The 25,245-nt window shown below is 39.2% G+C and overlaps 1 protein-coding gene across 7 annotated transcripts in view; it reads left to right on the top strand.

The window, feature by feature from the left end:
- ABCC4 (ATP binding cassette subfamily C member 4 (PEL blood group)) overlaps positions 1–25,245 on the top strand; it is a 281,617-nt gene that overhangs the window by 139,591 nt on the left and 116,781 nt on the right. For 6 of the 7 annotated variants that reach the window (NM_001301829.2, NM_005845.5, XM_047430034.1 and 3 more), the window contains one exon: positions 526–672. In NM_001301829.2, coding sequence (NP_001288758.1) covers positions 526–672 — 147 coding nt within the window. Of the gene's footprint in view, positions 1–525; positions 673–4,538; positions 15,659–25,245 lie in introns of those variants that run through there. The other variant, XM_017020320.3, reaches the window with a different exon arrangement.

Here is a 25,245-nt window from a genome sequence, read left to right as displayed (position 1 = left end):
CTTGCAATTCAATTATTCAAGAGGTTTTCCACATGCAACTTAATACGGTATTTTTAAATTCTTTAAAGCTACTTGGGCATTTTCTACAAGGAAAAGGTAAATCATTTCTCCTATTCCTTGTTAATATCACATGTTGGTATCAAAACATACCACCTTTTTTAGATTATGGGACATAATGTAAGTAATAAGATTTGGAATATGGAGAAGATCAACTACACTTCATGATTATCTATCCTACTTCTGAGTTTTTAATAGAACTTGCAATTGAATTAGAGCCTAGAATGAAATTGTATTATACACCTGATTTTTCTTTTCTGTGCAGTTTCCATTCAGTGAGAGAAAAATAAACTATTTTAATCCTTCTTTGTCAATGTATTTTGTAAATACATTATACTTATGTAGAATCCAGATGCTTTATGGAATAAATTAAGTAACATCTTTATAAACTACCTGGCTTGCTTTAGCAACTATTGAAGAAAATGCAGAGATATGCTGTGTTCTCTAAGTGATATTTCTTTATTTCAGGTTTAACTGTAGCTACCGTTCTTTTTGGCATAGCAAGATCTCTATTGGTATTCTACGTCCTTGTTAACTCTTCACAAACTTTGCACAACAAAATGTTTGAGTCAATTCTGAAAGCTCCGGTATTATTCTTTGATAGAAATCCAATAGGTAAGTCTGACACCAAGTTTCTCAGTAAGTATGTCTTGTTAACAACACATTTAGGATCTGATTACATTTCCATCTTTGAAAATGGAAGGGATGCTGGGAAGAAAATCACTATGCATGTTGATTCATTTTCCACAAGAAACTTCACTGATATTTTTCTCCTACCAGAGAAAATCTAAATATGCGGGGGGAGGGGGGGGCATACAATCTTTTATTCCAATTTATATGTGTGTGGAAAAATAAATGAATGTTCACTTTGCAGAATGCTTTAGGAATCCATTTGCTGTGAGGCAAGTGAAGCATCCTGCATTCCCTGTAAACATGTTTAAATGTAGTTGAATAGTTGCTAAACATTGGCTGTGTTTACATAGTGTTAGGTTATGCCATTTTTCAGAGGGATCTTTGTAATCAGGAATGCTCTGACGTGAGACAGGCCGTGCATTTCTTTCTTTCATTGGGAAACCCGTTCATTTCTGGAAACACAGGGTTTTTGTACATACCCTGACTGTGAGGTTTCCCTGAAAGATAATATGTGGTTAATTAAAAGCCAAGATTGATAAAATGTAAACTCCCCTTCAAGAACAGTTTCTAACTCTGTGGTTTTGAAGTAGACTTTTGGTTCTATAATAGAGACTTTGTTGAACCTGCCATATAGATCTTCAGTAGCTTGTTTCCTAGGTATACCCAACTATACCCAGTATTTTCCAAGTGGTTGATGCCTCTGCACTATGCGCTTCTTATCTGTCCTGCTTCTGAGGCTAGCCTTCCTGACCTGGGTTCCTAGGGAGAATTAGTTGTGCCTATAAGTCCCCACCCTGCTCAGTTGAGTGGACTTGTGGGGAGGCCTGAGTGACATTGTGCAAATGATAACTGCCCTCATAGAAGCAGGGAGGTGGCCTGGAGAGAACACAGGCACAGCTTTGGCCTGGCCATTGACTAGCTTTTTGACCAAGGCCAGAGCACATAGGTGCTATTACACAGGCAAGTCTCCAAGCAGATGCTGTAGTTCAAAGTGTGAACTCAAGCTAACTACCTGGGTTCAATCCTGGTGCTGGTTACTAATTGTTATAGCTGATTATAGTTACATTCATATTCATGTCCTAGTTACTTAATTTTTCTGTGTCACAGTTTTCTTATCTGTAAAATAGGGATACTATTCATACCCACCAAATTGAAATCTTATGAGAATTAAGCATGTTAATACATTCCTAGCACATGAAACTGGGTGTAGCAACATGGTCAGTGCCTAACGAATGTTAGTGACAATGAAGCCATGTATCTGTGAACTGAATCACCTTCACTGTGGGGTGGAAATTACTCCTACCCTCTCTGTTTTACATGATTTTTGTGAAGATTAAAGAAGACTGTTCTGGAAAGCATCTTGTGTAGATTTATTTAACAAATACTTTTCAGTCCAAGCACTGTGCAACGTGCAAGGATTTGTAAACTGCAGAGACCACACAAATATCGGTCTGATTTCAGCTGTTATTAGAAAGTCATTGGAGGACCTCTGCGCTATTACAGCTGTAACGTTGCGCCACTTTGCCAGTTAATTTGAAACTACAGTCATAACATTTGGAGCATTAAGTGGGACTGCCTTTCTGTTATCACAGGCCTCGGAATGCTCATGACTACCATTAACCAGCCTCTCCATGTTTGAGACCTGTGGGCTTCTCCTCATGCTGATTTATTTATTATTCAGGGATTTGGGACCCAGTCTAAATCTTGGAGGTGACTAATCTTACAGCAGCACCTGAGTGTTTATCTTGCTTCCTCCTCCTATATCTATTAGCATGACTTTATTCCTTCAACAAAATAGAAGCCCAAATAAGTACCCCAAGAGAGGTCTACTTTGTCCAAAATGTTTAGAGGTCATGAATTATTTACTTTTTTTAGTGGTAGATGTTGAAAAAATGTAAAAATTAAAAGTTTTTTAATGGTAGAATTAAAATTTTCATTTAGATAAAATTTTTGCACTTTTTACAATGGTGAAGGATACACAAAATCTGTGAATTACGCCTCAGAATTCACATTACTGATTGTATGCACTTCAATAGTTATATATATATATATATATATATATATATATATATATATAAAATTTATTTAGAAATAAGGTCTCATTCTGTTGACTAGACTGGAGTGCAGTGATGTGATCACAGCTCACTGTAGCCTTGACCTCCTGGGCTCAAGCGATCCTCCTGCCTCAGCCTTCCAAGTAGTTGGGACCACAGGCCTGTGTCACCATGGCCAGCTAATTTTTAAAATTTATTTTATTCTATTTTGAAGAGATGGGATCTCACTATGTTACCCGGGCTGGTCTCGAACTCCTGTGCTCAAGGGATCTTCCTGCCTCAGTCTCCTCAAGTGCTGGGATTACAGGCATGAGCCACTGGACCCAGCCGGCTTTATAATATAAATAAAAATTCCCCTCTATGATAGTGAGGCAGGCATGCTCGATTTTTCAGTACTCTTAAACATACATGTTAAATATGTATAAGTATCTGGCATGATGTTGTGCCCCCTGAATTGCAGAGTGTTCTTTGAGTGGGGTAGAAAGACTGGGAAGCATGTCTGAATACTTAGTTATTAAAAGCAAGCTCTTAGAAGAGCCCCGGGGGAGTTTCCTATGAGCTCAGCATCCTGATATTCTCCCAGGTTTTAGAAAACTTAGGAAACGGGGAGGACCTCTGCTGGCATGTAGTTTCCAGTAAGCTCACCTTGGGATGGTGACTGGCACAGAAACTCCAGGTGATTCACACCGGGGGTCTGGCTAGACGTCCCTCATATCCCCATCTCCAGTGCCCTTGTGCTGGAATATTCTCAGTGACTCTGGTCTGCAGCATAGAAATGTCTTCTCCATTATTTTATGTCCACTCCCACCCCAGTGTGCCATCCCCCTCATCATGCTTCTGCCCAGATCCTCATCTGTGTGGTTAATGAATGGGCGACCCTTGCTGGTGACTCAGAGAACCAGACCTTCTGGAAGGGTCCCCCTGACTGCCCCACTGTGGTCCCAAGTTCACTTATTTGGATTTAGGGAGAAGGGGAAGGTAAACCTGGAAGGTCTGTGTTTCTTCTCAGCAGCGAAGTTTCTGTTTCTTTTTTTTTTTTTTTTTTGAGACGGAGTCTTGCTCTGTCACCCAGGCTGGAGTGCAGTGGCGTGATCTTGGCTCACTGCAAGCTCTGCCTCCTGGGTTCATGCCATTCTCTTGCCTCAGCCTCCAGAGTAGCTGGGACCACAGGCACCCACCACCACGCCCGGCTAATTTTTTGTACTTTTTTAGTAGAGACGGGTTTCACCGTGTTGGCCAGGATGGTCTCGATCTCCTGACCTCGTGATCTGCCCGCTTCCACCTCCCAAAGTGGTGGGGATTACAGGCGTGAGCCACCGCGCCCGGCCTGAAGTTTCTGTTTCTAGGAAGGCCACGCTTCTCCAACATGCCAGATATTAAGTTCCTCTCCATTTCGAACCCACCTATGGTTGCATGAAATTCATCTTTGTTTATATAATACAATACCTTTTTATCTACTGGCCTTTCGTTAACCTGATAAATCTTAAGCTAGCAGGATAAAATGTGAGCCAAACCAGTGTGCTGCCTTAGAATGACAAGAGCCAGTTCTCTCTCTCTTTCTCTTTTCTTTCTTTTCTTCCTTCCTTTCTTTTCTCCTTCCTTCCTTCCTTCCTTCCTCTTTCTTCCTTTCTTCCTGCTCTGTTGCCCAGTCGAGTGCAGTGGCATGATCTCAGCTCACTGCAAATGTCCACCTCTTGGGTTCAAGCAATTCTCATGTGTCTATCTCCTGAGTAGTTGGTATTACAGGTGTCTGCCACCACATCCGGCTAATTTTTTTTTTTTTTGTATTTTTAGTAGAGACAGGGTTTTACCTCCTATTGGTACTGAGATAGCAGTTTTCCCAAGAAGCCAAGTACTGACGAGCAATGTGGAGCTGGGTCTGAGGGGCAACCATGCTCTGTCTGCTGTTGGGAGCGGGCTGGGCCCCCAGCAAGAATGGACACACATTCATCCAAGGTGACCACCAGTGGACAAATGGTGACTGTTTGTGTGTGTGTGTGTGTGTGTGTGTGTGTGTGTGTGTGTGTGGTAGAGTCTCACTCTGTCGCCCAGGCTGGAGTGCAGTGGCGTGATCTCAGCTCACAGCAACCTCCGGCTCCCAGGTTCAAGTGATTCTCCTGCCTCAGCCTCCCGAGTAGCTGGGATTACAGTGTCCACCATCACACCTGGCTAATTTTTGTATTTTTAGTAGAGATGGGGTTTCATGATGTTGGTCAAGCTGATCTCGAACTCTTGACCTCAGGTGATCCACCCATCTTGGCCTCCTAAAGTGCTGGGATTACAGGCGTGAGCTACCGCGCCCTGCCAAGAGCCGGTTTTCCTTTCTCGTCTTTTTATCCTCCTCTCACCCATTGCTAGTTTTTATTCTTTCCTCTTTTGATGTAGGTTGGTGATGGGATCACGTGTGTCTGTTAAGAAGCCTTACATTTTCAGCTGCCCTCGGACACCTCCTTCATATTTTGATTATGACCTGAGTTGAATAGGGCATTTGCAGATATTTTCTGGTACTGTTCGCTGCATCTACCTCTTCCTAGTCAGTTTTTGTGTGTGTCTTAGCCCTGTTTCCGTTCTGTTCCAATCATAATAAATGGGTAACACAAATCCTAGGTCAAGAGTAAGTCTTCAGAAATTAAGAGATGATTTTTATTTTAAATGTAAATCCTGTTTTCCTGGCATGGGCAGAATTAATTTTGCTTTTGATATCCAGCACAAGAGGGCAGCATGATCTGCAGTATTTCAGTGATATAATGTAAGAGCACCTCATTGCAAAACCTGGTTTTTAATTTAAAGCTTTCTTGGAAATTCTATTTTTATAGCTTGGGTCTTTGTATCTTGATATGTGTTAATATGAAATTTAAAAAGTAATATTGTGGCGTATTATGTTTGAAACATGAAAGTCTTTGTGGAAGATATTTTTCTGATGTTGTCCTGGAATACCTAGCATTTCAAACAGGGTTTTTTTGGATTTCCTAATTACACCTTCTTGACTAGTAACTGGAATAGGCAGACGCTGACATCTTGAGTGGTTGGATGCATTTTAATTCCTGAAGCATACATTATGATTTGCTTGTATGATGTTTCTGTTTTCTTTGTAAGCATGAGTTTGCAGAGAAAGATAGTTACACAGTTAGTTTCTTTAGTTTTCTTCCACGCCAACAGAGTTAGCAGAGACATTTTATTCTTATCAGGTCTCTACAATTTCACTCTTTGTTTTGGAGAAAAGATGAGCGGTTTGTTGTCCTGTTTTCTCATGCCTAATTATGGTGACATAACATTTAGCTAAGTACACTGACTCTAATGGGTGCCAGATAAATGTTTACTTGCTTTCAATTTGTTAATTTGGCTTTAAGAACCCAAGAGCTGGTGTTGGTAGAAGTGTTTGTTTACTCTCTCAGGGAAGTAAAAGTTAATATTGGGTTACAGCCAGTGTGTTTTACACAACTGGTTTTTCTCCAGTGTGTGCGTGGGGAGTATGTGTGTGTATGTATATTTATGTTCATCGATGCCTTCAACAGTGTAACAAAAAAACCAGATTCATATCATTCTTTTTTCTTTATAGATTAAGGTAAATGAGAGCTAAAACACTAGATAAAAGAAAAAAGAAACATATTGACTTCTTCCCATGTTTCTTTTTTTTAATCCAGTGGAAGATGCTTGTGGTCACTGAGGTATGGAATGCGAATGCTAGTACTAGATTTTAAGATAGACATATTCTCCTATGTTCCCTAATCAAAAATCGAGGGTTGCCCCAGTGATTAAGATTCTCAGCTTTTAGCCAGGCGTGGTTGTAGTCCCAGCAGCTCGGGAGGCTGAGTCAGGAGGATTACTTGAGTCTGGGAGGTCAAGACTGCAGTGAGCTGTGATTGCATCACTGCACTCCAACCTGTCTCCAAAAAAAAAAAAAGAATGATTCCTTCCCAGCTTGACTGAATGGGAAGTTAGGATGTGCATCCTACAGGAATTGAGGGGAGGAGGGTGGTAGTGGTTTGAACTATTGTTCTGTTTCTGAAACCTGGAAAGGGACTCTGGAATCCACTACAAGTTGCTAAATAATTTGTGGAGAACTGAAAGCAACCTCCATGATGAGCTTTTTATATGATCAGAAAGACTGTCTTGCGATACTCTATAAAATCTGATGTCCATATCCCACTTCCTTGCCAGAAAAAAAGAGTCATCAATAAAGAAGAAACATAATTGTAGGGATACCTATTTATCTGTTTATTCAGTTCAAATGACCACTGGAGTTGGTGCTAAATGTGCATTTTTAACAAGTATAATATTTCAGCACTGTCAAAATTACCTCTACAATAATAGGCTTGTTAAATTATAGCTCTATAAGCTAGGGGGTAAGATGGCTCTGCCCAGCACACATTAATCTATGCCTGTTCACACAAGTGATTCTGCTGAGCAGGTAGCATGTTTAAACAAGAAATACTGGTCCTAAAACCTCTGATTTATGGTAGGTGTTGTTTTGACACAGCACCATTCAGACAATTTACAAGGCAAAGCTTCGTGCTAAAATATTTCCTCAGTGTCATCATTCGTCACCAGTATAAATATTCAGTAGTGATGCTGGAAAATTGGTAATATGCCCATTGATGCCAAATCACTCGCTATGTTTCCTTTCAAGTGAGATCTGTTGTGGATATGGTTAAAAGAAACTATGATTTTTCTTCCTTGAGAGCAGATGAGCTGTAAGAAATTGAGAATAACAACCGTCCTGACAGCTTTCATGTACTCAATCTTGCCTATATTGCTTTTAATTCTGGCTTAAGTCCTGCGGGCTTTCCCTCCCACCCCCTTGCCTGATGCGTATTGTAAAGAACACATTTATATGTACATTAGTTAGTTTAAGAGGCTTTTTGTGTTCAAAGGAAGAAGTTAGTCATCACCAGAAAAGCTTTGTTGCAAAACAAAAACACACATTTCCCCTTTCATTTTTTCTTGTTAATAATAACAAATGCAAGTGACTATAAAGGGAATAACACAAAAGATTGCATCAATCATAATGATTCTCAATAGCCACATAAATATTGTTTTTTCAGCTTTGAATGAAACAGCTAAGAGTTTGAAGTAGGTGTGGTAATTAAATCCTGTCGGGTTATCACAAATTAAAAATAATGTTTTTTTCACATAACAATGGTTATATGTACTTAAACTCTTATCAGGGGTGATACGAAGTCATATTTTATGGGAGTTGCTCCTTTACTGCTAATAGTATCATAAAAGCCTTTGTTAGGAGTTTAAATAGTTACGTAGTTACATATATTTGATTGCTATTGTTATTTTGTCAGTAATCTGTATGTAAGCGATTACTGTAGCACTTGTCTACAGCTGGTAAATATTGCATCATTTTGGCATAATTTTTAATCTACTAGAATGTTCTGATTCATGGTTTTTCTCCATAATAAATCATACATGGAGATACTGACAACTTAGTAACAGAGAAAGCACTGTGTTTGTCCAATAAAATGTTAAAAAGATAAAAAACTAGGGAAGAATGTGCTTTGTTCAAAGTGATAATCATGTAATATTTCAGGAAATTATAAGATGACATTTTACTTAACTGTGTTAAATTGTTTTCCTATAGTGTATATAATGTGATACCTGCATGTATTTGTATATGCCTGTATCTCTCTCTCTCTGTCTCTCTCGATATATGTAAGTTCTCCACTTCAGTCTAATGTCCGTGGCTATGGTTTTAACGCCCCCCCATTAACTGATTTGATATGTGTTGTCTTTATCTTTATCTTCGGCTAACTTGGAACTAGCTAACTTGGAACTCAGGGCTTTGTAGCATATCCCAATATCTGCTGTTAATGTGTGCTTAGTAATTTGGCATTAGCCTATGGGATGTGTGACTGATAATAGTAATTCAAGTATTGTCATTTAAAACTGTCCCCCACTGTTAGATCAACATTATAGTTCTCTGTGACCTTATTGTCAGAAAAGAATCAAAGTATCTTCATGACTTAGTTCTTAGCTGTTGGATAACCATTTCAAGGGAAAATAGAACACTGTTTCTGGAATAACCTAATGATATTCCATTAGCCACTTGCAGTGGCCGATTTCAACATGAATAAATATTGATAAGTATATTACTGAGAGCCTAATATGTATAAAGCATAGTTTTTGGACACTAAGTGGAAGTTGTTGGGATTTGCTAGCTTGAAACGCTGTTCTGTTTTACTGTAAGGCCAACTGCTTCCCCTCAAAGATTTGACTTTGAAGTTCTCATATGAGAACTCTGGTTTTCATTTATAATTGGAGTTTTAATTTGAGAGTTTTCCATTTATAACTGGAGTTTAATTTGAGTTTTATATGAGAACTGATTTTCACTTATAATTGGAGTTTTCTTATTCCATTATTTTATTCCTTCCCCCTTTATTATAAACATGATTATTTATATTGCCATGAAGACAGTGGAAAAAAAATCAGAATATTTACAACGCTGAGGTTGTGACATTTTGTTTTCCATGAAGTTTAAAACATTTTTGCTTTTATCAAGTTTTTGATAGTGTTTATGAAAATGATAGTTACATTCTAATTTAGGTAATTACGTATTTACCACCCTTGTCTTATGTTAGCCTTGTTTCCCCCTTGTCTTCCTTGCCTTGTTTTCCCCTTGTCTTCTTGGAGCTTATCTGTTGTTTCCTTGCTAAATCCCCTGAGCCCAGGATTGGATACACTGTATCTGATTAGTAAATATTTGTTGGCTGGACAGAACAAGAAATAGTTCCAAGAGTGCATTTGCATCTCTTTAAGCAACACCCATAAAGAACAATGGGACTTTACAGTGTTGAAATAAAATTAGAGTGTTTTTTGTCTTACAGCTGGTACTTATATTAAATTTAACTCTTGCTTCCAATTTTCTTTTTCAAAAGTACAGTTTGTAATAGATTACTTTGGTGGACTTTGTTTCTGATACGTGATGGCCTGAAGAGAAAAACCGTACATTGGTTCTTTGGAAGCTGTGATTCATGGAACTAGACCAAGTTCTCCTGTTGTTTACCAGTCAAAGAAATGAAACTGTCAAACACCTAATAACTTTTTTGGGGGTTTAGTTGTGTGTTGAAGGTGACTTTTAACACTCTGTGGGTTAAGCGTCTGGTACTGTATAGTTTTGTTTCATAAACTTCATGCCCTTAAGAAGTAAAGAGAGGAATTAATCCATTTAAAATCATCAGTAGACATTGAAAATCTGTTCTTGCACAGGGAGTTGAGGTGTTGAGATGCCCCAATTCTGCTAGGATCATAGTTTGTGGTAACTAAGTCGGTCACATTACTTCTCTTAGCCTCAGGGTTCTAACAGGTAAAAAGTGGCTTTTTCATTCATCAAGCATTTCTTGGTCTTCTACTCATCGTCAGTTGTGGTCCCAAACATTGAAACAAAAGTACCTGTTTTCAAGGGACTTGCAAACTTAAATAGTTGCCGACAGTGGATGATGATGATGATGATTTCTTCTCCTTCTTCTCCTTCTCCTCCTTCTTCTCCTTCTTCTCCTTCTCCTTCTCCTCCTCCTTCTTCTCCTTCTCCTCCTCCTTCTTCTCCTTCTCCTCCTCCTCCTCCTTCCTTCTTCATTCTTCTTCCTTCTTCCTTCTTTCCTCTTTGTTCTTCTTCTTCTTTTTTTTTTTTTTTCTTGAGACAGAGTCTTGGTCTGTTGCCTAGGCTGGAGTGCAGTGGTGTGATCTCAGCTCATTGCAACCTCCGCCCTCTGGGCTCAAGCAATTCTCTTGCCTCAGCCTACCGAGTAGCTGGGACTACAGGCATATGCCACCACACTTGGCTGATTTTGTATTTTTAGTAGAGACAGAGTTTCACCATGTTGGCCAGACTGGTATTGAACTCCTGACCTCAAGTGATCTGCCTTCAGCCTCCCAAAGTGCTGGGACAGGTGTGAGCCACCACACTAGACCAACAATGGATTACTTCTAAAAACCATCCTGTGTCAGAATCTATGATCTCATATCAAAAAGATGCATATTAAAATTAATGCAGCTGCCAAATGGAAGTCTAGATACTTTTCTAGATACAACACACATGAGCATAGCTCCATCAGATATGTCTTCTTCATAATTCATTGGCCTTGATTTTATAAAATTTCCAAAAATGGTTCTTTTGGCACTTCAAAACCAATTGTGTTCAAAAGAAATCATACCAGTGGGAGTAGCAGAGGTGTTCAGGAAACAAAATAAATGATTCTTTATTTCAGATCATAATCTCTAAGCTTCAAGTGGACTCACAACAATTTCTAGCTAGACTCTTGACTGGGCCTAGATGCTTTTCTGAGCCACTGGGGGAGGTCTAAGTGCTACAGCTCAGCTTAGGAAAGTGTGTTGGAGAAAGGGGAGGGACTTCCAGTGTTGCCCTTTACAAGTACCTGTACACGCTTTGGGCTTTTAGAAGTATTGATAGGAGAAAGAACATAAGTAATGATATTTTCCCTGTAAGTAATGTTATCATGAAATTCAACTATGATTCACTGAGTGTTCTCATTCTTGGTCACCAGGATTAATGTTTGAGAAATTTCTTCCTCGTTTAAATAGAAGCTCTTTCATATCTCAAATAAAGACTCGACAAGCTTCAAAGTACATTTTGAGGCCCTGGCAGTGGGGAAGGGGGAGGGAGGGGGAGGAAAAAAACAGGACATTTTTGAGAGGAAGTTTATTAAAAACAAGTTCTCTGTTCTGGAAACATTTTCCTTTCATGTCTTGTTTGCATTTGCATTTTAATAGATTATATCACATAGGCAAATGTTCCAGCACCTCTTGAACACCTGGAAAGCCTGTCTTAGACTTGTTCTGGTGTTTAGAAATCTTTAGGCAGACAGTGTTCCAAATACAGTCATGCTCGCCAGGCATGGTGGCTCATGTCATATAATCCCAGCTACTTGGGAGGCTCAGGCAGGAGGATCGCTTGAGGCCAGGAGTTTGAAAGCAGCTCGGACAATAGCAAGACCCCATCTCTAAAAAAAATTAGCTGTGCACAGTGGTGTGTGCCTATAGTACCGGCTCCTCGTGAGACTGAGGTGGGAGGATTGCTTGAGCCCAAATGTTAGAAGCTGCAGTGAGCTATGATTACTGTATTGCCCCCCCAAGCCTAGGAATCAGAATGAGACCCTGTCTCTAAAACTGTGCAGCAACATCTGAGAAAACAGTATATCTCCCCTGGTTGATCTTCAGCCTGATAGTAGCTAATCAGACTTCTCTCTGAACTTCAGGTGGAAGTTTATAGAAATGTTCTTTTGCTTCAGTGACTGGTCTCATTCCTCACTCTGATTGAAGCACATAATAGAAGAGTTCAGAGATTTTGGGAGTTGGAGGAAAAAATAGCATACCCAGTTCTTTCTGTGTTCCGCACAATGATATTGGAACAGGGAATATAGTTGAAGCAGATTTACCCTTAAATATATTTTCTCCACATACAATTCCACACGCCTTGATCAGCAGCAGTGCTTTGAGGCATAGTTACAATCATGGATTATTTTTTTTCATTACCTTTACATATTTAAAAGTAGAGAAGGAAGGAAATGGTTGCTTTTTTAAAAGTAGTCATTATTTTTAATTTTTTTTTCCTCCTGTTGGTGTCAGAATGGCCTGGGCGCATAAAATTTATTTCCTTTGGGGGAACTATAAATGTATTCTTCTTCTCTTTTTGGAGAATAAAATGGTAGTGACATCTTACAATTATCCCATGCGAATATAAATCTTCTCTATATACTCCCTATTACTTAGCATGAAAATGAAAAGGGAGTCAAGTATAGTTTAATAAGTTCTACCAATGAACTGTATTGTAGACAGAAGTATTTCTTATTGGTGCCAAGTTGGAAAAGTTAGTCTTGACGTGGTCCTGTAAATGAAAGGAAAATCAACACATACATTTCAGGATCATGAGTGATCAGTGTCACTAGAAAAGTGTTCTTCTTTCACTTTAAGATTAAATAAATAGTTGTTGACATAAATAGCCGGGGTAATAAAAGGGAACACCTGTGTAATCCAGCCATCAGCAGTTTTATCGTACAATCAGATAAGCTGCTGTTTGTTAAGGAATTGTCAAGTCTTTAGACCAGATGAATAGATTTAGCTCATACGTTAGAGAATTTTAAAAACTGAACAGAAGAAGCTTTAATTTCCCTTGATGCCAAATGTTCTAACCACTCTCATCTCCTTTCACACACGAGAAGCTGTAGGAGTTTAAAGCTCAATTGACCTAGCCTTCAGGTATGTCTTCTTCCATTAGTTATTGCTGTACCAAAGTAGCTAAATGTTCTAGATGAGATTAGGGTTTGAAATTTTATATGGCAAAATAAGTACCTCATCATTTTTGGATAAACATGGGGTATTTTTTTTCTAATACAGCTCATCTTTTCTCTCCCTTTAATTCTCATGTCCACTTTCATTTGATGTCAAATGAGAGAGAACTTTGGTTGTCATTTAAGAGCCTCTTGATCAAAACAGTTATCTTAAGAAGCATTGATTGTGTGTGTGTGTGTGTGTGTGTGTGTGTGTGTGTGTGTGTGTGTGTTGTGATGGGTAGGGGAGAGGGAGAGAGAGACTTTTTAGTTAGCTTGTCCCACCACAATAAGAATTATATTTTTGGATTCTCTTAATAATATGTGAAATTTAAAATTTGAAAATTAATCAGCAAATAAGATGTCCTTTGACTTCACCCACCAGCAAATGGAAGGATTTTTCTTTATTTTCTAATAGGGGATTTAAATCACTATATGATTTGGGATCCATGGTACCCTTTTGGTAAAAAGCATGACTTTAGAATCAGCCTGCCCAAATGTGAATCTCAGCTCTTCCTTGCTGAATTACTTAAACTCTTTCTGCTTCAACTTATTTGTAGTATGGCGATGATATTAACAGTACAATCCTTTTTTTGTGTGAGTGACAATTAAGAGAATCAATATATGAAAAGCATTTGATATGGTACCTAACAGCTAAAAATTGATTTTTTTGACTAATTGAGATGATGAAATTTTAGTAGTCTTAAAAAATGTACAAATTCCAAATTTGCTAGTTTTGATGAAACAATAGGAGTCTGGGAAGGGTGTCTGTGTTTTCCTGGATGCAAAGAAAAATAGATAAATGACCAAGACTAACAAGCCACAAAAGAAAATCAATAGAGTATTTTTTTTGTTTGTTTGCATGTTTTCTTTTTGGTTGTGTTTTCAATGGGGCTTAGCTTCATTCCAGAGTTAATTTTAAATTTAATTTGGTTTTACAATGAGAGCTCAATTTTGCATGTAAGTACCAAACATCTGGTTTACTTTTTGTTTGAAAACGATACAGCTGAAGTTGAGTACAGAAGTCTATTGTGTAATTAAGGAAAGAGAGTTTGAAATTTTGTAAAATAAGTTCTATTTAAATGGAATATTGGAATTATTCCAGAGAAGTGGATATACTTCTTAGGAGTAGGAGAAACTTACATTATTTTTAAAAAATGCTATAACTAGTCCAAATGTATAAATTCTATGTATTCACCTTTTTCAAAAAGCATGAAAAATGACAAATTTCACAAGTGAAAGTTAAAGTTGACCTAAGGCAGTTTTAGATTGTTGAGCCTTCAAATTTTATTCATGGGATGTTTTTAGAGACAGTCTGTGGTTTGATCACTCCAGTTAATTCTGGGCAATCTTTCTACATTTCTATCAGATGGACATTCTGATATTTTAAAACTTCCTCTTGCGCAAAATATGTTTAAAGCAACCTGGGAAGAAAATGAGATTTCTGGTTAGTTCTTGTAAACTATAAATTATGTTTTTAAGACATTTAAAGGAATTATAAGCCAAACATAGATAACTCCTGTTACTGCACTATTACCATTAATAAACTAACAATTAAAATGCCGTAAAGTACTGACTGGATATAATACTAGCATTGTGATATATAAAAAATAGAATTTGGGGTGGAGAGACCTAAATGAAGATAGGACACCTACTAATTTTCCACCTGCTTGCCAGATAGTTGTGTCTTCAGGCAGAGACACCCAACTAGTCCAGAGTCTTAGGATTCAACCTCAGTAATGTCAGAAAGGCCCTCAGCTCTGAACTGCGATGATTCTCTCATTCTGTGCAACTCTTTTAGAAATAATTTGATAAGAGCTTAAGAAAGTCAAAAATAGGTTGTTTGTAAGACATCAGAGGATTTTTATAATAGTTTTGCCCCACCCTTGAATGTTTTAGAGGTCTGTTGTAGGACAGAGGTTTTGGTTTCTGGCAGTTGCATTCTAGTTCTCTACCAAATTGAGGATCAGCCAGAGGTACAATACATTTGGAATCTTGCCCTGTGTCTTATAATTTTATAGCAACATTATAAATTTATTTGACAACTTAAGCTTATAAAACTTCTGTCACTTCCGTTGTCTTGTTTCATCTGCAGTAGCAACAAAGCAACAAGAAATCTGTTGCAGTCTCTCTGCCTCTGAGCATCCACACAGTAGATCCACCCTCTTCTTTGCCTTCTTGCCCAATACTCTTGTTATTGTCCCTATCGGTTTTTATGTGGCAACCGCAGGGATGTGATGCCTGTAATTGAAAATTAAATGATTGCCATAAATCATTAATCAGACTGCAGATTATAACAGCATTTATTAAGCATCTTGGTAGGCCAGGAGTGTGCTGGGAATTTTGCATAAGGTAACCGGTTACTGTCTTGTGAATTCTGTCTGGGTATTTTCCTGTGTTTGTTTCTTCCAACTTTTATTTTTGGTTCAGACGGTACATATGCAGGTTTGTTACATGAGTAGATTACATGTGGTGGAGGGTTTGGTATACAGATTATTTTGTCACCCAGGTAATGAGCAAAGTACCTGATAGGTAATTTTTTGATCCTTGCCCTCCTCCTACCATAAAGTAGGTCCCAGAATCTGTTGTTGTTCCCTTCTTTTTTTTTTTTTTTTTGAGAGAGTCTTGCTCTGTCACTCAGGCTGGAGTGCAGTGGCGCAATCTTGGCTCACTGCAACTTCCGCCTCTGGGGTGTAAGCAATTATCCTGCCTCAGTCTCCTGAGTAGTTGGAATTACAAGCGCATATCACCATGCCCAGCTGGTTTTGTATTTTTAGTAGATGTGGGGTTTCACCATATTGGCTAAGCTGGTCTTGAACTCCTGACCTCAGGTGATCCTCCTGCCTTGGCCTCCCAAAGTGCTGGGATTACAGCCGTGAGCCACTGTGCCCGGCCTGTTGTTTCCTTCTCAGAGTCCACATGTACTAAATGTTTAGCTCCTGTTTGTAAGTGAAAACATGTGATATTTGGTTTTCTGTTTCTTGTTAATTTGCTTGGGATAATGGCTTCCAGCTCCATCCATGTTGCTGCAAAGGGCATAAGTTTGTTCTTTTCTATGGCTGCGTAGTATTCCATGGTGTATATGTACCACATTTTCTTTATCCAGGCCACCATTGATGGGCACCTAAGTTGACTCCTTGTGTTTGCTATTGTGAATAGTGCTATGATAAACATACAAGTGCATGTGTCTCTTTTTTTTTTTTTTTTTGGAGATGGGGTCTCCTCTGTTGTCCAGTGCAGTGGCAAGATCTCAGCTCACTGTAACCTCCACCTCCCGGAGTCAAGTGATTCTCCCATTTTAGCTTTCCAAGTATCTGGGACTACAGGCATGTGGTACCTAATTTTTTTTTCTTTTTTTTTTTTTTAGGTAGAGATGGGGTTTTACCATGTTACCCAGACAGGCTGGTTTTGAACTCCTGGGCTCAAGTGATCTGCCTGCCTCAGCCTCCCAAAGTGTTGTGATTACAGGCATAAGTCACCGTGTCCAGCCATGTGTGTCTTTGTGGTAGAATGATTTATTTTCCTTTGGGTCTATACCCAGTAGTGGATTGCTAGGTTGGATGGTAGTTTTCTTTTAAGTTCTTTGAGAAGTCTCCAGACTGCTTCCCACAATGGCTGAATTTCCATTTCCTCCAACAGTATATATGTGTTCCTTTTCTCTGCAACCTCACCAGCATCTGTTATTTTTTGACTTTTTAATAATAGCTCTTCTGACTGGTGTGAGATGATATCTCATTGTGGTTTTGATTTGCATTTCTCTGATGTTTAGTGATGTTGAGCTTTTTTTCATATGCTTGGTGACTGTTTTTGTCCTTTGCCCATTTTTTTTACTGGAGTTGTTTGTTTTTTGCTTGTAAACTTAAGTTCCTTATAGATTCTGTTCTTTTTGCTTAGGATTGCTTTGGCTCTTTGGACGCTATTTTTTGATTCCATATGAATTTCAGTATAGTTTTTCTAGTTCTGTGAAAAATGGCTTTGGTAGGTTGATAGGAAGAGCATTGAATCTGTAAATTGCTCTGGGCAGTATGGCCATTTTGACAATATTCCTATCCATGAGCATGGAATATATTTCCATTTGTTTGTGTAGTCTCTGATTTTTTTTCAGCCATGTTTTCTAATTCTTGATGTAGAGATCTTTTACGTCTTTGGTTACCTGTGTTCCTAAATATTTTATGTTTTTGTGGCCGTGGTATTCTTGATTTGGCTCTCAGCTTGGATGTTAGTGGTGTATAGAAATGCTACTGATTTTATGCATTGATTTTTGTATCCCGTAACTTTGCTGAAGTTGTTTATCAGATCTGGGAGCTGTTGGGCAGAGAATATGGGGTTTTCCAGGTATAGAATCATGTCGTCTACGAAGAGAGGTAGTTTGACTTGCTTTTTCCTATTTGGTTGCCTTTTCTTTCTTTTTCTTGCTTGATTGTTCTGGCTAGGACTTCCAGTATTGAATAGGTGTAGTGAGAGTAGGCCTCCTTGTCTTACTGGTTATCAAGGAGAATGCTTCCAGCCTTTGTCCCTGGGCATTTTCTAAAGTTATGTCGCCCATTCCTATATAGTATAATATTTTATGTTATCATCATGCTTCACCCCCTCAGATAAGGGTTAAGTTACGTTTAATATAGTACTTCCTTTCCAATGAATGTGGATATCTTATTAATCATATGTTTAAAAATTTGACAAATTTGTGTGACCTGGAAAAATCCATCACAAATAACAGGTGTCACAGTGTGTATCTAATGGATGCGTTTATCTGTCTGAATGTGTATGTGTGTGTGTAATGTTGATATAAGAATTCCAATTTGAGTTACATGTGTGAAACTAAGAAATATTTTAACCTCTGTCTTCTTCACCTTCTGAAATGTTTACTCAGCTGTTACATAAACTTGCTTTTATCAATTTTCAGAAGGATTTAGCATTTGAAAATGAGTTAGTCCCACAATGGGAGAAAAAAGTTTTTACTATGTAGTAAATGTTACTGCTTCTGCAAACTAGATGATCACTTTTGCCTGTTATCATGGGCATACGTTTTCTAGACTTCTAGCAGTACATTGGCATGACTTTCTAAATCAAGTTTTTATAATTTTTTAACCGGTCATATGTTAGGAGAGTGCTAGCTCTGAAATTTGTAGTGTTTGGTGTCATAGGAGATACTGTGGAATGGTGCTACCATAGCTATTCCTTGGCATTTGTGTCCTACTGGGAGTGGAAATAATTCTGTCTTTGGTATGAACATTTTTTCCTTTTTTAGCTCTCCAAAGTGATAATGGAGAACTTTTTATTTATATTTTAATAAAAAGGAGAGAAAGAGGGAAAGGAGACAGAGAATAAACTCTCAAATCCTTCCAAATTAGAAGTCCTGTTAACTATTTCAAGATGTCTTTGGTCATTCTCATAAATTTTAGATTTAATTATAAATGTATCTAGAACATTTCATGTAGGCTATTTTGGAAATGCAGTTGAACTTTTAATAGGACTCATCATTGTTAGACTTTGAATGACAGAATAACATGGTCAGAAGGGGCATCTCAGGAGGTTCCTGTTAGAAGAACCACAGCCAAGTGCCTTTCAAGCTTGTGGAAATCCCATCCAGCTGTTCTCTAGGCCTGAAAAAATGTGGGAAATCGAAAGATTGGTGAATTCTCTTGGTGGTCTACTCAGAAGAAACCATATTAGTAATGTTGATGGTTCAGTATCAAACCTGGCTTGGGCTCAGAGCTTGTGAGCCTAGAGTCACACATGTACCAATCCAGGTGAGACCCCAGCTGAAAAATTTCTTTGCCTTGTTTTATTTATATAGCTAGGCTTTTTAGTACATGGCCCACTTTTTAGCTACTTGCCCTCCTCCACCCATAAATCATGGTGATGAGAAAGACAGAGATTCTTCTATCATCCATTTTATTCCTTGTTTCTTCTTCTTATTATTATATTTTTTTGGCAGTAATTTAAGAGATTTGCTTTCTTTCTTGTTTGCTGTAGAAGTCAAACAGTATTTGGAAATTTGCGGAAAATAGCGTTTCATAAATCTTCTAATTTAGTCTTCACAAGGCTTGATATTTTATAGTGAGACACTGATTTTTACTCATACCCTTTTCACAAGTAGTATGATGATAAGATCTAATCCTAATTCTAGCCATCTATTTGTTCTTTGTTCTAAAACTTAAGTGTGTACCTTAGATATCACTATTTCTTTTTTTTCTGGTTTACTCATGATCTTTTGTTAAATTTAAAAATTTTTTTTTTTATTTCCATAGGCTATTGGGGAGCAGGTGGTATTTGGTTACATGAGTAAGTTCTTTAGTGGTGATTTGTGAGATTTTGGTGCACCCTTCACCCAAGCAGGATACACTGCACCATATTTGTAGTCTTTTATCCTTCACCCCCTTTCCAACCTTTCCCCTCAAGTCCTTAAAGTCCATTGTGTCATTCTTATGCCTTTGCATCCCCATAGCTTAGCTCCTACTTATGAGTTGAGAACATACGATGTTTGGTTTTCCATTCTTGAGTTACTTCACTTATAATAATAGTCTCCAGTCTCATCCAGGTCACTGCAAATGCCATTAATTCATTCTTTTTTATGGCTGAGTAGTATTCTGTCGTATCTATATTCCACGGTTTCTTTATCCACTTGTTGATGGGCATTTGGGTTGGTTCCACATTTTTGCAATTGCAAATTGTGCTGCTATAAACAGGCACATGCAAGTATCTTTTTCGCGTAATGACTTCCTCTGAGTAGATACCCAGTAGTGGGATTGCTGGATCAAATGGTAGTTCTACTTTTAGTTATGTAAGGAATCTCCACACTGTCTTCCTTAGTGGTTGTACTAGTTTACATTCCCACCAGCAGAGATATCACTATTTCTGTTGCTTCAGGGAAAACCAGTTTCCAGTTTCCTTTATGTATTGATGGTCCTCTGAAAAAGATAGAGCTGGACACTGTGGTGCACACCTGTAGTCCCAGCCACTCAGGAGACTGGTTCAGGATGATCCCTTGAGCCCAGGAGTTTGAGGCCAGCCTGGTCAGCATCGTAAGACCCCGTCTCTTACGAAAGAGTCAATACACACAAATAGGTTTACTGAATAACACAGCCATTTTCTGTTGAGGGAGCAACTGGCTCCTTGGATGATTGGATTAGCTTCTCTTTTTTTGGCCCAAAGTAGAATAACTATGGTATTTTTACCATTTCCCCTCAGTCTCACTTCTAAGGTTCTTTTCAAAAATGGGCTAAGATATGTTAAGGTTTATTAAAAACTTCATTGATACCCCCCACCCCCCACCTTGTGTAAGCTGCAACTTAGTCAGAGAGATTACATGTGGAGCTTTATATTTATGGTACATTCTTTGTTCTCTGCTTTTATACTGCACCTCAGAGGATTCTTAAATTCTTTGACTTTTGAAGCTTTTCGTTTTCTTTGCTGAGTTTGAGGACAAATTTTGGGCAAAAACACCCGGATGATAAATAATGCATCTAGACAAAAAGAGAAACAAAGTGAAACTCAGTGAAAAGTAAATCGACCTAAACAGTCTAAGAACATTTAACGTTTTGATTACATCTCATGACATTTGATATCTTGACCCCTTCAGCCTGTGCTGGCTGTTGCCTTTGCCTCCGACTTGTAATGTCAGAGGATTAAAGCTCTTTTACTCCTTTCTGGTGAAAATATTTGCAATTTCAGATTTGTAACTAGTAGATCTGTTCAGCTGTAAGGAAACCTTTCAGTGATGAGCAACACGACTTTTCATCTGAGGGATGCAGAGTCTATGACTGCCCGAGAGATTGGGATCCTGTAGTGGTTTTATTTCATTATGAGCCTCCACCAGTATTATTTAATGCAACCAGGTTTTGAATGCTGGTGAGAACACAGTTAAGGTCATGGTCTGCAAGGACTTTGATGTCGTGCAGAAGCCTGATTTTCCCATAATAGGCATGAAAAGCTTGTGCAATATAGCTCTTAGGAGATGAATATTTGTTCCTGTAGGTTACAATAGCAGACATAACCTGTGAGTGATGGAAAATGTCGGGCAGAATATGGATTTGGAGGAAAAAGGGGAAGAACTAGTATGAAAAAATTAGCCATAGAAATCGATAGATACTAGGCCAAGAATATAACTGCAAACGTGTCAGCTGGGTTTTCCCAAGAATGATTGACAGACACTATTGCAGATCCTGCAAGTAAAGAATTTCTGATGTTTTCTTTTTTTTTCCTTTAAAGTTCAACTAAATGATTTCCTTATAGATTTGAAACTCTTTTCTCCTTATACAGAAATTTCTCCTCTCTTCTTAGTTCCCAGATTTTTGTGCTAAGAGAATGCATAAAAGGCAATTATTCTGTTGATATCTTTTTAACTATCTGTAAAGATATCCATATTGATTCTTAGGGCCACTACCCTGGTACAGTTTTTGGTGGCTTGAATTAATAGGATGGTTTGCTGTCCATTTTATTTGTGTCTGGAGAAAACTTTAGGTTTTAATGCACTTGCAAATTCCTTGGGCAATCTGTAGCCTGTTTGGCTGTCTTTGTTGCCTTTCCTTTAGATGCTATGCCGAGTCCATGAAGTGCTCTTCTCTCTAAGGAATACAGAGACTGGGGATAGTCCCCAGAGTTGAGGAAACGTAGAGCCCCGTAGGTGTACCAGTTATGGTGGGTGGTGGGAGTGCCCTGGGCTAGCGCTGAAACTTCAGGTTTTCAGTGGTTGACATCATGAGTGAGGAGACTTTTGGAAGAAGCAGAACTGAAGGTAAGACTGAGTAAGTGGATCTGTCCAAGAGTAAGGAGAGATGAGGCCTGGAGATGGTCAAGGCAACACACAGAATCTGACTTTGGCAGTGGATCCTAGACCAGATCAGAACCAGAACTAGAGATCAGGAGGTCAGCATGGAATCAGTGGGAAGCCTTCCATCTGCATGGTTGCCAGCTTCGTGCCAAGGGATGTTCTGGCAATTATGGAAGCACATATTGGTACAGGTTTGACTAACCACCCAGACTTTTAGCACTGGAGTTTGTTGTTGCTTTTTTAAATTTTTTCCCCCAGGACAGCTGTCAATTTGGGGAGATATACAGGTATGAATTGCATGGGAAAGAACCATTGAATATGACTCTGGGATGGTTAAATATCTTGAAGCTGCAAAGAAGGAACATAGAACAAAGAACAAGATGAATTCTCATCTTATGATTTAAACTGCATTTAAACAATGTCCGTAGATCCTGCCTTCCTGGAGGTAGAGGCCAAGTAGCACCATATACATATGCGTGCTATTTCTGAGCACTCACGGCCCCATTGGGCATGGGCTGTGTAGGTGCCAAGGCTGGAGGGGCTCCTGGGGCTGTGGGTGTTTTGCTCACCCCCTACACAGCTTGCCCTCATGCTTCTCTGTAACAGGGTCAAGTTTCTGGGTTACAGCTGCCACAGGAACAAGCTGGCACATTCTTCTTGTTTTGAATTTGACCACTGGGTATTTATTTATTTTCCCACCTTTGATTGACATCAACGTTTGGTGACCTCCTTCATCCCTCCTTTGGGCGGCCAATCCTGCCCAGCCACAACACTGGTCTCAGTTCTCATAATGATGTTCCCATCATGTCTCTTTTGTAAACAGAGCAAATACAGAAAATGCCAGTTTCTAAACTTTCACTTAATTTCTACCCATCCACTCAGAAATACCCACTGAGTCTTATCTTGAGTTAGGCACTGTGTTTGGAGCTAGGCCAAGAGGTCGTCAAAATTGTGGGGAAGATGGATGCGCAGTAAGCAGCAGAGGGCTGGGCTTGGGATTGGCTCCGTGGAAGGAGAGGCCCAGGGGCCACGGGAGTACAGGAGACAAGCCAACCAGATTTGAGGTGGGGCGAGCCTTGAAGGATCTCTCACGGACCTGTCATGGGGATGGGTGGTTGGGGTTACAGCAGCCCTGGAGGTAAGGGAAAGGAGCTGCCCAGCTGGCGTGGAGTGATTGCAGGCCAGGTGGTGTGAGGGCCTGCCCAGGCCAGGTTGGGCCATGCAGGGCAGATAAAGGATTTTAAACTTTATCCCTAGAGCAGGAAGGCTTTGTCTTCAGTAAAATGGATGCCTGATAACGTCACCTTTCGGTGCTTGCCGGAGCTCCATTTCATCAGGGAACCTATTAAGAGTAAAAATAGGGACTCATTTGGATTTTTAAACTTTTTTTTTTAGAATCAGGATCTCACGATTTTTCCCAGGCTGGTCTTGAACTCCTGGCCTCAGGTGATCCTACTGCCTGGGCCTCATAAAGTGCTGAGATTCCAGGCATGAGCCATCGTGCCTGGCCTGTTTGTTTGTTTTAAACATGAACTTATTTTAATGTGTCACAAATTTTGTAACTATCTGACACTTAGTTCACATTTCACCATATTGTTTGTGGCCATTTTGATTCTTTGATTTTCATTTAATTGCATTGAGTATAATAGCAGCAAAGTCTATCTTCTTACTGTTTGTTCCTGTTCCAAGCACCTCCCAAAGAGGAGTAAACCAACATATTTTATTATCTCTGTAATCCAGAAAATTATTGCATAAGGACATGTACACATTTAGTTTGGAACTCCAGGGCAAATTAGTATATTTCCTGGGTTTATTTTCTTATAAATAATGACCAATATTTCATAAATATTCATTTACCACTGGTCATTTAAAAAGTGGAATTGCAGTAAAGTTTTAATTGGTAAAGTGTAACGTGCTTGTGTGTGGAAAGGCAGCAACAGACTTGGAGACTTGAGCTTCTAAAAGTTTCATTAGTACTCTAAGGGCTTTATCTTAGGGAAAGAATTGGTCCTTTTTCTGTAAAAATAAAAATGCTGTTCAGTATTGGTTCCCCCCGCCCCACCGCCCACTTTCCCCAAAGAAAATAAAACTTTGCTGCTTAATCAGGGTTCCAGATGTCTGTATGTATTTATTTATTCAGATATTTATAGTGTTCTCTGTCAAACAGTTTGCCTCCCTGGGTGCATTCCAGCAATGTTAAAAACATACATGGCAAAGCCACAGAGATCAAAGACCTGTGTCTTGTGAACCCTTTGCAACATTTGGGCCAGTCTCTAAAATGATTTATATTAAAACAACCAAATAAGCACTCTTCCTGTCCACATCGTGCTTTAAGGAGTGTTCTGGATGGGGCCTGAAGAACCCGTGCAAATTGGAGTTCCCCCCCATCTTTCGAATGAGGGACACCACCAGGAAAGCTTCCTGTGGGGCTGCATTTGACCCGCAGGTGCCTCTCCCATTTCCTGTATTTCCACATTTTATTTTTGTTTTCATTATTTCTTCCTTTAAAATATGGGAGTTAACGATTTTACCCCCCCTTAAATATTCTACCATGTAGAATTTTAGACTGTCCATTAAAAATATGGGTTTCATTTTCTATATTATTTTCAAAATATGCAGTATCTACCATCTAAATGGGAAACAGCAAGACTTTTTTGTAGTGACAAATTAATGCCACTGTGACTAATATCTCTGAAAGGGAAGTGCCTGTAGCAGCTGAGGCCTGTGAGCTGGAGCAGGACAAAGCATAGATGTTGTGCTCTGAGTAAGAAAGTCTCAATACACGTGGCCTTCCTGGTGAGAGCTCTTACTTGAGTGTTTTAAAGACCAGTGATCTGGCTTAGTCCATCATTGGAAAGTGTTATGAAAGCGGCCAATAGACATTTTCCTACTTCCACTGCTTGTTGCAGATCTTCTCTTCTGGCTGGGAGCTGGGGTGGATCCGGTAGGGGACAGAGCAGATAGGTGTGTGAAGTGACAACCTTGAAAAGAACCTGGCCCTATCTACCTTTATGCCTACCATCTGTGATTTGCCAGAGTTCTCTGCAGAGCAAACCATGTAAAGTAAAATGTTGCATAAACCTGCTACTCTATCCCTGGCCCAACTCTGGGTGTCAAGAAGTATGCTGTGCTTTCTGCACGAATGTGATGAATGTGGGAACCTTTTTGAGATAGCAGCACATGCTGGCAGTGGCGAGCCGTGTGCGCCTGGGCAGGCTGGGCGTTCGGCAGGCATGTTCCCAGGCACTTCCTAGGGACTTGTTGCATCATCAGGTGTTTGATTCTCCACCCCGTCCTTCCCCAGCGTGTCCACCACCCTTAGGTGAGAGAGTAGAAAGGAGTTCCACTCAAACTAGGAGAATTGATGTGTGGCTGTGGAATTTCCTGTCTTTCCGAGTTAGCATGCTATTTGTAGAGGAACCTTTTGGCTTCCATT

Source organism: Homo sapiens, chromosome 13 (genome assembly GCF_000001405.40).
Source record: "Homo sapiens chromosome 13, GRCh38.p14 Primary Assembly".
Taxonomy (NCBI): Eukaryota; Metazoa; Chordata; class Mammalia; order Primates; family Hominidae; genus Homo; species Homo sapiens.
This window is presented reverse-complemented; position numbering and strand designations above follow the sequence as displayed.